General features: G+C 34.8%; 1 protein-coding gene across 17 annotated transcripts in view; it reads left to right on the forward strand.

Annotated features, from left to right (window-relative positions):
* Positions 1-16,859, forward strand: part of MYO6 (myosin VI) — a 170,299-nt gene that overhangs the window by 87,689 nt on the left and 65,751 nt on the right. For 13 of the 17 annotated variants that reach the window (NR_160538.1, NM_001368865.1, NM_001368866.1 and 10 more), the window contains exons 8-11: positions 3,658-3,755; positions 4,287-4,451; positions 7,970-8,050; positions 11,424-11,604. Coding sequence is in view for 15 of the 17 variants with exons in the window: in NM_001368865.1 (NP_001355794.1) it covers positions 3,658-3,755; positions 4,287-4,451; positions 7,970-8,050; positions 11,424-11,604 (525 nt within the window). In the remaining 2 variants the exon portion in view is untranslated. Of the gene's footprint in view, positions 1-3,657; positions 3,756-4,286; positions 5,878-7,969; positions 8,051-11,423; positions 11,605-16,859 lie in introns of those variants that run through there. The other 4 variants (NR_160539.1, NM_001368139.1, NM_001368140.1 and 1 more) reach the window with 2 other exon arrangements.

Genomic DNA, 16,859 nt, shown 5'->3' on the forward strand with positions numbered 1-16,859 from the left:
TCTCAACATCATGCCCTAGATTCATAACATCACCCACAGTGCTCTGTGTGGTCTGGCTCCTGCCTCTTCTGAGCTCACCTGGAGTCATGTTTCTTCTGACTCCTTATGCTTTAATCACATTGGGCTCCTTGTAGTTCTTTGAGCTGTCTTAAACAGGCTTCTCTGAACACTTTTTCTCCTTCTCCCTGTCTTACTTTCCCCCACTATGTACTCAGTAAGCATTTTTTAATAATAATGGTGGTAATAACATATATGGGATGTATTAGGCATTATCTCATTTGTTTAAAAATCTGTTATGTAATTTAAATCTTCACAGAATGAATTAGAAACTATTTTATCCCTACTTTAAAGATGATAATATTTAAATATGCTGAAGCTCATATAGTTCATCAGTTGTGAAATTCGGATATAAAGCTAAGCATTTTAACTACATGCCGTAGTAAATGCATATTTTAACACTCTCTTGGCATTTTTTGTTTTTAAATTAGAGACAGCATCTCACTATGTTGCCCAGGCTGGTCTCAACCTCCTGGGCTCAAGCAATCCTCCTGCCTCAGCCTTGTAAGTAGCTGGGACTCTAGGAGTGCAATACACATGCTCTTGACATCTTAAAGAAAAATGTTGGTTGAACAAAAACTTATTAGGGGCCTTGTATGTTCATGCATTTTGCTAGATCATAGCAAATGATATGTGCATTTTTCACAATGATGTAAAATCTGCATGTAGATCAATCTAAATACAACTCTAATAAACATTTTTAAAGTTGAGCACCAGTAAAGTTTTTTTTTAATATAAAGAATTTCCTAGTTTCATTTACAGTTTTTATGTGGTGTTGTAACATACCCAGATATGTACTTATCTTGTAAGTAATGCTTTATTCACAGTAAAGTGCCTTACTTTAGCGAGGGAGTCGTTCTTAAAAACTGAATAAATTAATAAAAAAGAACAAATTATGGGCTACCTCAGTAAAAGACTAATTAGTATTCTGATTTGCTCACTTGAGGTGCACACTCACTTAATAATTGGATATACACCCAGTTTCTTCCCCAGTAATGTGCTGTACAGTATGTAGTGTGTTATAGTGGAGACAAGTTGGAAAGTGTTATTCCAAGTGCTTCTATAGCTTCTTTTTTTTTTTTTTTTGAGACTGAGTCTCACTCTGTCGCCGAGTCTGGAGTGCAGTGGTGTGATCTTGGCTCACTGTAACCTCTGTCTCCCGAGTTCAAGTGATAGCGCTGCTTCATCCTACCGAGTAGCTGGGATTATAGGGGTGTGTGCCACCACGCCTGGCTGATTTTTGTATTTTTTTAGTAGAGTCGGGGTTTCACCATGTTGGGCAGGCTGGTCTTGAACTCCTGACCTCAGGTGATCTGCCTGCCTCAGCCTCCCAAAGTGTTGGTATTACAGGTGTGAACCACTGCACCCAGCTCAATAGCCTCTTAATGGAGAATAGTAAATGTAACTAGAAGGGTATAGCGTCTTTTGATCCCATCCTTAATAGAAGTTTAGTTGCTGGTTTTGGAATGAGTATATTATTAGTAGCATTAATATGATTTTCTGTTGGAGAGGTTCTTATCCTATTTTGGGATATTTTACTTGTATTAAATTCTTCAGCAAAAACTAGTAGATTATCAGTAAGGGAGTTGGGGAGACCTGTAATTGAGTCCTCTTTTTGTTAACACAGCCAGTTATGTGGACTTTGAAGAGTGAGTTGACCATGGTTTTTTTTTTTTTTTCTTCTTGTTTTTTTTTGAGTTGGAGTCTCACTCTTTCACCCATGCTGGCGTGCAGTGGCAAGATCTCGGCTCACCTCAACCTCCATCTCCCGGGTTCAAGTGATTCTCCTGCCTCAGGCTCCTGAGTAGCTGGGATTACAGGTGCCCACCACCATGCCTGGCTAATTTTTGTATTTTTAGTAGAGACGGGGTTTCACCATGTTGGTCAGGCTGATCTCAAACTCCTGACCCCATGATCCGCCCACCTCGGCCTCCCAAAGTGCTGGGATTACAGGTGTGAGCCACCGCGCCTGGCTGACCATGTTGGCTTCAGTTTTTTTATCCCATCTGAAACATGAGGGATATATGTTAATATTTCTTTTAGTTTTAATGTTTTCTTATTTTGGCATGTGAAATGGCTGGGGAATGATCTTTAAAAGAGTTTAGAGACTAGTTAAGCATTCTACTCTAGATAGAATAGGAGAAATCTGCTTGAAAAGGCTTCATAAGAAATATGACTTCATGTTTATTTTTTAATTTATTTTATTTTATTTATTTATTTTTTTGAGATGGAGTATCGCTGTCTCCCAGGCTGGAGTGCAGTGGCGCGATCTCGGCTCGCTGCAAGCTCTGCCTCCGGGGTTCACGCCATTCTCCTGCCTCAGCCTCCCATGTAGCTGGGACTACAGGCACCTGCCACCACGCCTGGCTAATTTTTTATATTTTTAGTAGAGACGGGGTTTCAACGTGTTAGCCAGGATGGTCTCGATCTTCAGCCCTCGAGATCCGCCTGCCTCGGCCTCCCAGAGTGCTGGGATTACAGGCATGAGCCACCAAGCCTGGCCAGCTTCATGTTTATTATAGGAAGAACATGCTTCATAAAAAAAATTTTAACACTGAACATCATGAAGCACTTTAAGTTTGTTGATGGAGAATATGTGTGTAAGATTAACACTAATTTGGTATGTTTGTAATTGAGATTTAGATGAGTATAAGAGTAGAATCTAGTAACTCTTATCCAGTCATGATATGTGTATAGGTGATTATAAAATAACAGTGAAAATATTATATTTGTTCACTAGGATTTTAAAACCCATTATTCTGAGAGCCTTAGGTAATTCTGTAAACTCTTAATTTGTTAAATTTCACTGGATATACATGTAAAAATGTTAAATATGGAGACTATTAATATGTGAAATGTTTTAGAAAAGTAAGTCAAATAATACATCTCTTGCCTATATTTTCTCACAAGAGGTTTGCTGTTTTATCTAAGTACTGTTGTGGGCCTGATATACTAGATAAAACAGTAAAATTTTTAGGGAAAAAATTTTAAAGTCTAGTTATAAATTTTGTAACATAGTGGCTTAAAAATTTAGTCTTTCCTATAACATTTATATTTTCTTGTTATATATTTGAGAAATTTTCCTATCTCATGGACTTGAATAGTGCCTGAGCATAGTGGGTAATCAATAAATATTTGTGGAATTTGGCATTACATGTGAATTCCTTCATGTTAATTTTTTTTTTTTTTTTTTTGAGACAGAGCCTTGTTCTTGTCGCCCAGGCTGGAGTGTAATGGTGCGACCTCGGCTCATCGCAACCTCCGCCTCCCGGGTTCAAGTAATTCTCCTGCCTCAGTCTCCCAAATAACTGGGATTACAGGCATGCACCTCCACGCCTGGCTAATTTTTGTATTTTTTAGTAGAGACGGGGTTTCATCATCTTGGCCAGGTTGGTCTCGAACTCCTGACCTCGTGATCCACCTGCCTCGGCCTCCCAAAGTGCTGGGATTACAGGCATGAGCCACTGTGTCCCGCCCATGTTAATATTTTTTAGAACATTTTTTTCTAGACATATATATTAACAAATGGAGATATACCATGCATATTTTGTAATGTTCCGTCATGCTAATTTTTTGATGGATTTTTTTGTTTCTCAATAGCTAACCCACTCCTAGAAGCCTTTGGAAATGCGAAGACTGTTCGCAACAATAATAGCAGTCGATTTGGGAAATTTGTAGAAATACATTTTAATGAAAAGGTAAGTGAGAGTAAGCTTTGGAATGATATTTTTGGGGAGTGTTTGTGAAAATGCAAGGGTCAGTTGGTGCTGTATTTGCACTTAATGGTAAATACCTTTAAGTTTCATTGTTACTTTAGATGGTTGCAGGAATATATGTGTCCACTATGACCATCTAAAAGCTCCTTTCACAATCTAAAACCCAGATGCTGAATTTGACTTCAGCATTGAGTATTACTGTATAGCTAGTCATGTAAGATATTCTAGCACCTGTGTTGAGGTACGGTGCAAGGTCAATTGTGATTCTTAGGAGGCTCAAAACTTAACAGGATTTGGGTAGAGACTTAAATGGGGATGTTTAAAATGAAGGATGACCATTATAAATACTCTGTGCTTACGTTTAGTTATTTGTTTTTTCCCCTTTATTTGGTGAATATTATAACCTCTTTGATAGACAAATGGTATTAGAAAAGGTAAATAATTTAACATTGGTTAATTATATTTTAAGACTTTAAATGCAAAAATATATTTTCTCTGTGTTTTGTTTTTTAGAGCTCAGTTGTTGGAGGATTTGTTTCACATTATCTCCTAGAGAAATCTAGGATCTGTGTTCAAGGCAAAGAGGAAAGAAATTATCATATCTTTTATAGGTTGTGTGCTGGTGCTTCTGAAGATATTAGAGAAAAACTTCATTTGAGTTCACCAGATAATTTTCGGGTAGGTCAGAAGAAAAGAAATTTCATATAGCCAGGTGCAGTGGCTCATGCCTGTAATCCCAACACTTTGGGAGGCTGAGGCGGATGGATTGCTTGAGCCTGGGAGTTCGAGAGCAGCCTGGGCAATGTAGCGAGACCCTGTCTCTAAAAAAAAAAAATACAAAAAATTAGCTGAGCATGGTGGCACTCACCTGTAGTTCCAGCTACTCGGGAGGCTGAGGTGGGAGGATCACCTGAGCCCAGGAGGTTGAGGCTGCAGTGAGCCATGATTGTGCCACTGCACTCCAGCCTGGGTAACAGAGCGAGACCCTATCTCAAAGAAAAAAAAATTTTGTATAATTTTTGAAAATATAATTGCCATCAAGCCTAATACTTATTTTAGTGAATTTTGAAATCTACTTGTTGTGTGTATGTAACTTACATTGGATCAAGTATAACATGTTAGAATGACCACTGTACTGAGAAGATCTCTATTAAGGTGTACTGCTGAGTTTATAGTATAACACTGTATGAGGAGGCACATAATGGAATAGATAAAAGGATAGATGTTAAACCCTACGTCAATTTAAACTCAATTAGAAATTGATAATAGCTCTGTAATACTAGCTTTAAAGTTACCTTTGACTTATCTGTAAAAATGTTTGAACACTAAATTAATATTAATAAAGGACACATGATTGAATTTCTTAATTTACTTCAACAACAAATATTTATTGCTTGCCCATTGGGTGCCAGGCATTGGGCCAGGATTAAAAAGATAAATAATACACAGTCCCTGCTCTTGATCAACTTAGATGTGGTGGGAAACGCACACACACACACATGCACACACACACACACACACACCTGAGCATTACAAGCGAGTAGAGTTTCTAGGAGCGGTGACTGGGGATGGTTTGGTTAACACAATTTTCAGATTCTCAGGTTAGAAAACAGTGTACTTGTATGGAGTATGGGAATGTAGTTTATACAAAGGAATGCAATGTGAGTAAGGAATGTCGTCTGTATAGAGTTCCCCAGCTGATTCTGATAGTCTTTTTTGGTCAGAAAGCCTCCATTTGAGAATCATAACACACATAATTACTGCTCTGTGGTTGTGTGTGTGCGTGTGTGTTTGCAGACAGCTTTTCTTTTACTTCAATTTCTTTTAATGTGTGTTTGCAAATTTTAAAAGTCTGTTGTCTTAAAACACTTTATAAATGTATCTCTTTATATACTTCTAAAATGTCCAGTCTTTTCTAGAGCTCTCCAAATTAATTGGAATTTGAAGCTAGTTGCCCACATTTCCATGAAAGTAAAGGAAGCATTTCTTTTTTACTATGGTTTTTAAAAAAGGAATAAATTACTAGGAATTACATGAAATATAATAATGATGATACGGTTTTGTCAATACTTAGCTGACAATAAAGTGATGTGACTGTTCTGGCCTTAATCTAGCATTTCTTCCTGCTTGGAGGCTTGGGAGTATAGTATTTTTGGGTTTCAGAATGTACAGCCTTTCCTGGTACAATGGCAGGCATCCTGAAAGGGCAGCTATTGAAATATATCTGGTCAGAGGATTTCCTGTTTCTGCAGTGTGAACCAGGAGGCCTGATTTCCTTTCTTACAGGAGAGTCCTTGTGATGGTAAGAGGAAGAGTAGGGGAACAGCGTTGCATACATCTGCCATCTTGAATATTCCTCTCATATGCAGGCACAACACACCCACTACTATATCCACTTCCCCCAAATAATTCTGCCTTAAAGTCACTTGAAAGTGTGTTAGTGATTTCATCAGGTTTTTCTGTAGTTTAGCCCTCTGGTTATAATTGAGAGATCAGGTTTTAAAAACAAAGGGGAAACCTGCAGTAGGTTGAACACTTGTAAAATTGTTGAATTTTTTTGGTCACTACTCTATCAAAATTAGTATGTAAAGAATTGTGGATGTATACCTGTCTGTAAACATTTTTATTAACCACACATATACTTTAAAAAGTAAAAGGTTTAAAAATGTTTGCATTTAGACATTTCAAATATTTCTGCACATGTTTCTGGAGCCAATTGCTGTAATCATGGATAGATCCTTGAATGTAAAGAAGGCTTGGATAGAAAAAGAATAGATGGCCGGGATAGTGTTCTAGTTACAGAAAAACTAAAAGGACACGTTTCTATCCAAGGTTGTAATATTAGGCCCCACTGTCCAGAAGCAAAGTATTTGACAAAACAATTGGAGTGAGGAGACAAAGTGCTTGGTAGCAAAGAACATATTTATTTTGGCTCTACATGTTTAAACTATTATTCTGCTAAGTAAAAGAGCTCTTATTTGAAACAGTCCATTGAAAATGCTTACCAACATTGTCCCTGCTCCCTTCTCTTTTATTTTTTTCCCAAAGATTCTAGGGTGGAAGAAAAAAAAAAACCATGTATATAGTTGTCTTGTTTTTACTGTATTTTAGCATTTAATTATAATGGAGAAGGAAAGATAGAGGCATTGATTGTCTAAAATATTAATTTATCCCCAAATCATTCAAATTTTTATAAAATTTTTTTTGGTATGTGTATGATGAGGTGTATTTAATTTGGGAATTCATGCCATGGTACAATAAAATCATAGCAACCTGATTTAAGAGAAGCTGAGATGTTTAAAAAAACTTGTCCATCCTGTTCTCTGTGTACATCCTTTCTGATCAGATTTGCCCAATTCCATCTAAATGTCTTTAGGCTGTGTGTAATTTTCAGAAAAATGCAGTACTTTTAGTCTACCGTATAGCAAATATGTTCATTCACTTTTTATTAGAAACAGTTTTTAAATGAAGCAAGCCTTCAATTGTGAGACTAATAAATGGGAGCAGTAGATTCTTGTTGATACCAGTAGATTTTCTTTTTTTGAACTACTCCTCTTGTTCTATATTTTGGAAGCATTTAGCTTTTGAAAGCCTTTGGTAAGTGAAGTAAATCACTGAAATAAGAAAACTTTAAATTATTTGATCCATAAAGCATAAAGCAAGTAGTGTAATTTATGTACAGTCATTGTTAGCTTTCAATAAATGTGAAAAGCATGTTTTAAAAAACTGACTCTAAAAATCAAAAATTAAGAAAATCAAGGATAGAATTTCTTAACTTCTCAGAATTTAAAATATTACTTGAAAAATTAAACCATACTATCGGTTCTTACTTGAGATTCTACATATTTAGTAGGAAGGTGATTTTCATGATTTTATACACTATGTTTAGATTTTTGATACTGAAAAGATATAAAATTGTTGCCCTTTAAAAGTAGAAAACTTTTATGTCATTGATTTTTAATCATTTTATTTAATCTATGCTCAGAGATTAGGATTTTTAATATTCCTGGTTTTATTAGTAGGAAGAAAATGCTTATAAAATATAGAAGTATTGATTTGAATGGTGAGATTATACAGTACTCAAGTTGTGTTTAGAAATTCTTCATGGTTGGCACTATTTGGTAAGTTGTGTTTTCTCCTGTATTATTTCCCTGTGGATCATATATGTTAATTATGTTTAATTTGTTTTGTCATAGTATTTAAACCGAGGCTGCACTAGATACTTTGCTAACAAAGAAACTGACAAACAGATTTTACAGAACCGCAAAAGTCCTGAGGTATAGTAGACCATTGTTCATAAAATCTTTAACTTAAAAAAAAACTCATGCTGAAAGATGTGTTATAATTTTTATTTTAGAGCCCAAGTAAGAGTTCTAACTTTTAGGCTTATACTTTAAAAAATTAAATATTCATCTAAGTCTCTGTCACAGTGTAATACTTTATACCTCTTGTTGTTATCTAGTGAAGTGACAGGTTCTGGTTCTTCTGGTTGGGCATCACTGCATTGCTCTCCTCTCATTCTGTTTTCAAGCATGAAGGTATTAAATTGCCTAAGAATCATTCTCTTCTAGCATTTTTGAAACTTGCTCTTATATTACCCACTTGAGCTTAAGTATATGTCTTTTACAATTTATTGTCTATTTCAAGGCTGACGTGAGGTTTGATGTAGACAGTAAATAGATTAAGCGTTCTTGGGAAGAAATGCTTATAGGCTAGGCGTGGTGGCTCACACCTGTAATCCCAGCACTTTGGGAGGCCAAGGCGGGAGGATCGTTTGAAGCCAGGAGTTTGAGACCAGCCTGGGCAACATAGTGAAACCCCATCTTTACAAAAAATAAAAAAAATTCACTGGGTGAGGTCGTGTATGCCTATAGTTCTAGCTACTTGGGAGGCTAAAGTGGGAGGATTGCTTGAACCCTGGAGGTGGAGGCTGCAGTGAGCCACGATCATGCCATTGTACTCCAGCTTGGGCAACAGAATTAAAAACAAACAAAAAAAAGCTGGTCAGGTGGAGTGGGTCACGCTTGTAATCCCAGCACTTTGGGAGGCTGAGGCAGGTGGATCATTTGAGTTCAGGAGTTTGAGACCAGCTCGGCCAACATGATGAGACCCTGTCTCTACCAAAAAATTACAAAAATTAGCCAGGTGTCGTGGTGTGTGCCTGTAATCCCAGCTACTTGGGAGGCTGAGGCAGGAGAATCGCTTGAACCCAGGAGATAGAGGCTGTTGTAAGTGGAGATCGCACCACTGTACTCCAGCCTGGGCGACAGAACGAGACTCTGTCTCAAAAAAAAAAAAAGCTTATATATTATTGTAGTTCTGTTTAAAACATCATATTTATGTAATATATTATGAAAAATTTATATATTGGTTTCAGTAAATTATATTTCTAAGAATAATTAGATATAATTATACCATTAAGTATTATTTTTAACACATTAAGTTCTTAATGTAAAAATTTACAACCCTTATAAATTTTAATATGCAGTGTTTAATAAGTGATATTAAGTTACACGTACTCAAGGGGCTTAAGTTATGAAATACTAAAGTAAGGATTAATGATAGATACTGGTTAATGTTACTTTTATTAATTTTATTAAATATTTAAATTGAGTAATCGAACAAGTTTTTATAATAGTCAGTTTTTAATGCTTCTACATTTGTAAGCCCGATATTTTTTACTCTTCTTAAAATGAATGAGATGATTTATATTTTTAGCATATTTATATAAAAGGATAGAAAGCAAATAAAATATTCCATTATTTAAAATTCTAAGCAGACAACCCTACAGTTAATTTTTGTTTAATTTGGCATTTTATATATCATTATAGATACAGAATCTGAATTACAAACTATAAACTTTGCTATAGCCATGGTTGGTACTTTTAAGAAGCAACATTAATATTTATTATTGTATCTTTCTTTGTCTTGATAAGACTATGTTTTTCTGAGATATCAAAATATAGTAGCTATATTCCTTTCACTAAGATAATGGAGACCTTTCCTAGTGGGACATTTCAGCAGTTCTGAAGGGGGGAAAAAGATATAAATTTGATCATTTGCCATGGAAAAAAATGGAGTAGAGAGGAAAGAAAACGAGTTTACTCTCCAAAGAGTAGCATGTACTCTCCAAAGAAGAAAATTGCCCTCTTATTCTAGAGTCAGTATACTCTTTCAGAAATCTTATTCACATTGAGTGTGCGTTTATATGTACAGTTAAATAATGGATTAATATGTTTAAATTACTTTTTATGTCTTCTTTATCAGGAGGATGAGGTGATCATTTTGACTAATTAAACCCTTTGCCCAATTCCATCTGAATGTCTTTAGGTTGTGTGTAATTTTTAGAAAAATGCAGTATTTTTAGTCTGCCATACAGCAAATATGTTCATTAACTTTTGATTAGAAACAGTTTTTAAATGAAGCAATTCTTTGACTGCAAGACTAAAAATTCTGCATGATGTGTGTTTTCTGCTGAACAGTTTTGGCTGCATGTGATTGTTTCCTTTGCTTCTTTTAAGAATAAAATTGAATTTTATTGTCTTAGATATTTTCCAGAAATGTTACACATTCATAATTGAACATTTTAAATAATTTTGTGGAAAGACAATTATAGCTTGAGCTGGGAATCATTTGTTTACTGGGAGGAAAAAATATCCATCTCCAGGAGGCATCTTTAATGATCAGTTAATCATGATCCTGTTATTTAATGTTTAACTTGTATATTCTCAAGTTCTGGAAAATTTCTAGTACAATCTTTTCGTGTCCAGTAACTTTTATGTTTCTCCTTCTAGTTTCTGCAGTCCTGACTTTCTTCTTTTTTTCTTCTGAGTTGGTATAGAGTCTAACAAATGAGCACATTAGATGCAAGTTCTTTTAGGAGAGAAAACAAATTTTCTTCTCATTTTTTCTGAAATGTTTTAAGTCATTGTGTAAATTATTAGAGTAAGTATAATGCTTACTAATATACTTTACCATATATATATATGCATATAAAAAGGTTTAAAAAAGAATTCTAAGGCATGAAAATTGTATCAGCCTGACCCCTATTTACTACAACTTAATATTGGTGCAGTTGGTGGCAGTTAACCTAAAGGAGTCATACTGATTGTCACATTTAAATTTTTTATTGCACCTTTTAACTTACTTTTTCTTTTTTTAATTAACAAGAATAATGTATATTTATACAGTACATTGGAATACAATGTAATGTTTGATACATGTATACATTGTGGAATAATTAAATGAATATATTTATCATTACCTCATTTAAAAAAACTGTAATGTTGATTCAAGTATTGATATTCCCTCCTTTTTCACTCAATTTTTGTCTTTTTCTAATATGCTAGGATTATAAGACTTTAGAGCGAAAATTGTAATTTAATTGAAAAACATCTAATTTCATTATTTTAATTGAAATTTTTACGGATAAGTGTAGATTCACATGTAGTAAATAGTGAAATAGAACAGAGAGATCCTGTGTATACTTTTCATGGTCATTTAGTTTTTGAATGTTAGAATAGTAAAGATTTTCCCATTGACAGATTTTATTTTTGCATGTTATATAGTGCATTAATTGACCTGGTGTAGTAGTTTTAGTGTACTTAAATAATGTAACGATCAGTTAATTGGTGTCTTCTTGTTTTGTAGTACCTTAAGGCAGGTTCTATGAAAGATCCTCTGCTAGATGACCATGGTGATTTTATTAGAATGTGCACGGCTATGAAAAAAATTGGTTTGGATGATGAAGAAAAGCTTGATCTCTTCCGGGTAGTAGCTGGCGTCCTGCACCTTGGAAATATTGATTTTGAGGAAGCTGGCAGCACTTCAGGTTTGCTTTTTATTTTTTTAAGAGGAAAAAAATTAAATAGAATTTCTGTTATTTATTTGTCATATGAAAATTGTCTCTTTATATGCAGTTTGCTTAAAAACTTTAAGAAATATCTAAAATATACTGAGTTAAATGTTGAATCTCCCAAATGAAGAATGTTTCATTATCAGTCATTCTGAGCTCTGTTTTGAACAAATCAGTGATATTGCTTAGGAATAAACCTCTCATTTTTGAAGTATAAATAACTGACTATTTTATCCTGATAAATTTAGGGTAATTTTTAGTTAAATTTTCCAGTTATATTACACTTTTCCAATAGGTGAGAAGATTAATTCTCTATCATCTATTAAGGCATTTTTGAAAATTTTCAGGATCATTGGGTGAATTAATTAGGGCAATTTAATATATAAAAGCCCATGTACTTTATTAATGAGAAATGAAAATAAATGAAAATTTTAATCTTATGCAGATTGAAAAGAGTATTTAAATACATGGCAAAAGCAACTTTTCAACTCCAGTGTTTCAGTCTGTACATGAACAGTAGGACTTTGCATAATTCTAAATTTGATCTACGAATACAGGGAATGGCAAACTATGAACCACAGCCCAAATTTGACCCACTGCCTGTTTTTGTAAGTAAAATTTTATTGGAACAATGCCACACCCACTCATTTATGTGTGGTCTATACCAGCTTTTGTGCTAGTGTCAGAGTTGAGTAGTTGCAACAGAGGCTATATGTCCTGCAAAGCCTAAAATATTTACTATCTGGCCCTTTAGAGAAAAAGATTGTCAACCCCTATATTAAGACATTATTGTACGATCTTATACCAAGGATGAGTTAAGGAAAACCTACAGCACCATTTAATGTAGTAGTCAATAATGGGCTTTGGTGTTAGATCCCAGAGGCTCTCTGAGCTTTGGTTTCCTCACTTGCAAGATTAAATAAACCATGAGAAGGACTTTTAAAGTACAGCCAGTACCTAGTGTAATGCTAAAGGTTCTTGCCTTAGCCATGCCAAAGAATTGGTGTGGTGGCTGCCTGCAGTGAGTGATGGAGACAGGGACCAAGAGAAAAAAAAGCCATAGACTTTATTGAGCAGAGTGACAGTACAAAGCTTTCACAGTGTGGAAGGGGTCCCGAGTGGGTAGCCAGAGTTAGATTATGCAGTTTCCTTTTAAACTCTTCAAGGCGGGAAATACGTGCAGGGGGAAGATGTTACCAGAGCGAGAAACAAAGGCAGTAAATTATTTTGTGATGTGTTTTAGATTTTGAGGAAAACCGGAATTGCAACTTAGGTTTTATTTACTTTATGACCTTGCAGCGGCTTGGCAAAGGAGACGGGAATTTACGGGACTTTACAAAGTATGTTTACAAGGAGTTGGAATTAGGAGCATAGATAAGGCCCACTGGTCACAGAAAAATGGGCATTTAACATTTCTTTTAGTTTCAGGGGAGGGGGAAGGGAGAGAGGGAGAGAGGACATAGGGAAGCTTATGGCAAAATTTTTGCTGTTATAGCTTTCTTGGGGAAGAAAACACATGCACAAATCCTGGTGTTAGGAATATTTTAAGCACATATCTTTAATATTATTCATCCAGGACCAAAGTAAGTCCTGATACAGGAAATGAGTGAGTTTCACAGCTTCCTGAGCCCCTACTCGACCCAGGAAGGCCAGCGGGCACCTCCTCTCACTAGCAATAGTGTGCATATAGGGAAAGAGCACAAGAAGACAGGAAAAAAAAGAAGATTAAAAAAAGTGTTATATGCAAGACTCTTCTTATTCTGCATTTCATCATAAACATCGTAATTGTAATCTGTATATCATAAATATAATGAGGTAGGGGATATTATCTCCATTTTACAGAAGTGGAACCTGTGTTGAAATGATGCATGTGGTTATTGATGAAGTTGTAGATGTGAGAGCTGGTTCTGCTCATGTCTGACTAACACAGAGGCTTGTGATAATTGTCCCTTCTTTCTCCCAGGCCACTGAAATTTGTCATCTATGAATGAACAGACTAAAACAGATGTCTTAATGATTTTCAGATCTAATGTTCTGTAATGCTGTGAAATCAATAATGTGAGATGCAACATAACATAGTGGATGGGAGCACGTGCTCCTGATCCAGATGCTTTACCACATACTGTCTGTATGACCTTAGGCAGGGAACTTAGCCTTTTCGTGTCTTAGTTTCCTCACTGTAAACTGAAGATAATAGTACCTACCTCATGTTGTAAAGAGGAATACGCGAGTTAAATATTTGTAAATGATTTGAGTACTTGTGTCTGGCACATAGTAATCATTATAAGTGCTTTAAATGAGTAAGTACAATTAAAATACAGATTGCTCCCAATTTAAAATGAAAAAAAAAAATTCAAGCAAAATTAGATATGTTCTTAATGTGCATTAAAATTTTTTGTTTTTTTTTGAAGGATTGGAAAATTTGTTTTGAAAATGTAATGAATGTTAGCATACATTTCATTTGCTCTCTAGCATTGTTATACCAAAGGAGCATATGTGGGAGATTCTAACACAAAAAAAAGTCTTTACAATAATTAATACACACTTTAGAAATGTTGTTAGAAGTGATAAATGGCATCTTCACACCTCTTATTATTACCCTGTGGTAGAAGATGCAGTTGTATAGAGTATTATAAGTGTTGCATGATCAAGTTATTTGAAGAGTATGAAATGCCCAAAAGGTAATGCTATTTGCGTTATCTCTTATTTTTCTTCTCTAACTTCCTTCTATTGAGGGTAAAGTGAACAGAAATCAGGGAAGATTGGAAAGAGACAGGGAATCAATAAGATTAATATGTGATTCAATTAATTATTTTAAAAGCTAAGATTTTATTATATTTGTCTTCATCCTTCCTATGACTCTTCCTATAGATCCAAATGGTTTCTTTCTAATTAGAAGTGATTTCTTTTTTCCCTAGGGAGCTTAATTTGGCATGTCTTAGCAATTTGAAAAAATGTTGGTTTTGGCAGGATATGGTGGTTCTTGCGTGTTATCCCAGCATTTTGGGAGGCTGAGGCGGGAGGGTTACTTGAGCTCAGGAATTCAAGACCAGCCTGGGCGACATAGTGAGACCCCATAAAAAAAAAACAAAAAAACCCCCAAAACACACACACAAACGCACACACACACACAAAATAAATTAGCTGGGCATGGTGGTGCATGCCTGTAGTCCCAGCTACTTGGAAGGCTGAGGTGGAATGATTGAGCCCTGGCGGTCGAGGCTGCAGTGAGCCATGATCGCACCACTGCACTCCAGCTTGGGAGAGTGAGACCCTGTCTCCAAAAAAATTTGGTATTTTTATAATTATTCTACTGGAAAGATTATTCTCCAATAAGCACTTATAGGACTCTTAACTGTCATAAAGAAGTTTTTGCATGATGAAAATGCAGAAAACTGCATTGGGACTGCCTATGTTTTTAAAATTCCACATAACAGATAAAATGTTATTATAAGAAACTTTAAAAATGTTTGAAGAAGTTCTTTTTTGGAAAGAAGTGATATGAAAACTTTACATGATAGTATTTTGCCTTTTAAGACTTATTAAAAATCCTGTTTTTTTTTTTTATCTTAGCCTTACATAATTTTTGGAGGTGTGTAAGAAACTTTGCGATATAGTAAAAAAGAAGAAATATTTAAATGAATTATTTGATGGTCAATTTTTTGAGAGCTATATAATTTTAGGCAATATGTATATGTATAGAACCTACACGAGTAATAAGCACATTTTCATAGAATGAAACATTCAAAATATTCTCAAAGTATCTCTCTTTTTTCTTTTTTTTTGGTAGGAGCTTTATTGAGATCTAGTTAATATACCATACAGTTCACTCAATTGAAGTGTATATTTCAGTGGTTTTCAGTATTTTCAGAGTTGTGCAACCATCACCATAGATTTAGAACATTTTCATCACCCCACAAAGAAACCCTGTACCCATTAGCAGTCACTCCTCATTGCCCACTTCTCTCAACCCTAGGTGACCACTAATCTACTTCCTGTCTATAAATTTATTCTGGACATTTCATATAAATGGAATCATACAATATGTGGTCTTTTGTGATTGGCTTCTTTCACTTAGCATAATGTTTTCAAGGTTAATCCATGTTATAGCATTTAGCAGTACTTCATTTTATTTTTATTGCCGAATAATATTTCATTGTATGGATATACTACATTGTTTATCCATTTGTCAGTTTCTAGACATTTGGGTTGTTTCCATTTTTGGCTATTATGAATAATGCTGCTGAGAACGTTTGTGTACAAATTTGTGTTTGGATGTGTTTTCATTTCCCTTGAGTAAATACCTTGGAGTGGAACTGCTGAATCACATCATGGTAAACTCTGACCTTTTGAGGAACTGTCAGACTTTTTCAAAGCAGCTTTTCCACTTTACAAAGCTATTCCCATCAGAAGCGTATGAGGGTTTCAGTTTCTCCATATCCTCACCAGTACTATGTGTATGCTTATAGCAATCGTACAGGGTGTGACGTGTTATCTTTTTGTGGTTTTTATTTGCATTTTCCTGATGGCTCAAGATGCTGAGCATCTTTCTGTGTGCTTACTGACCATTTGTATATCTTTTTTGGAGAAGTGCCTGTTGAGATTCTTTGCCCATTTATTAATTGGGTTGTCTTTTTATTACCAAGTTGTAAGAGTTTTGAAAATATATTCTAAGTACAAGTCCTTTATCAGATATATAATTTGCAAATCTTTTCTCCCATTCTGTATGTTATCTTTTTACTCATTTGATAGTGTTCTTTGAAACTCAAATTTTTATTTCAGTGAAGCCTAATTTATCTGTTTTTTCTTTTATTGCTTGTGATTTTGGTATTATATCAAAGACATGAAGATTTACTTTGTGATCATGAAGGTTTATACCTAGTTTTTTTCTAACAGTTTAATAGCTTTAGCTCTTACATTTAAGTCTTTGATTCCATTTTGAGTTAATTTTTGTTTATGGTTGAGGAAGGGGTCCAGCTTCATTCTTTTGCATGTGGACATCCAGTTGTTCCAGTACCTTTATTGAAGAAGCTGTTCTTTCCTCAGTGAATTGTCCCAACATCTTATTATTGTAAGGTCTCATTTTTCACATTTTTTTCTCATATATATTCTAAGATTGGTATGTTAAGTAGTTTATGAATTTGTCATAAAATTGTCATGATTTTCACACATTCTTTGTAGTTTTTAATTAGGTAGTCTTAGAATATATCGTTTATTAATATTAATCTGAA

The sequence above is a fragment of the Homo sapiens genome, chromosome 6, assembly GCF_000001405.40.
Source record: "Homo sapiens chromosome 6, GRCh38.p14 Primary Assembly".
Classification (NCBI taxonomy): Eukaryota; Metazoa; Chordata; class Mammalia; order Primates; family Hominidae; genus Homo; species Homo sapiens.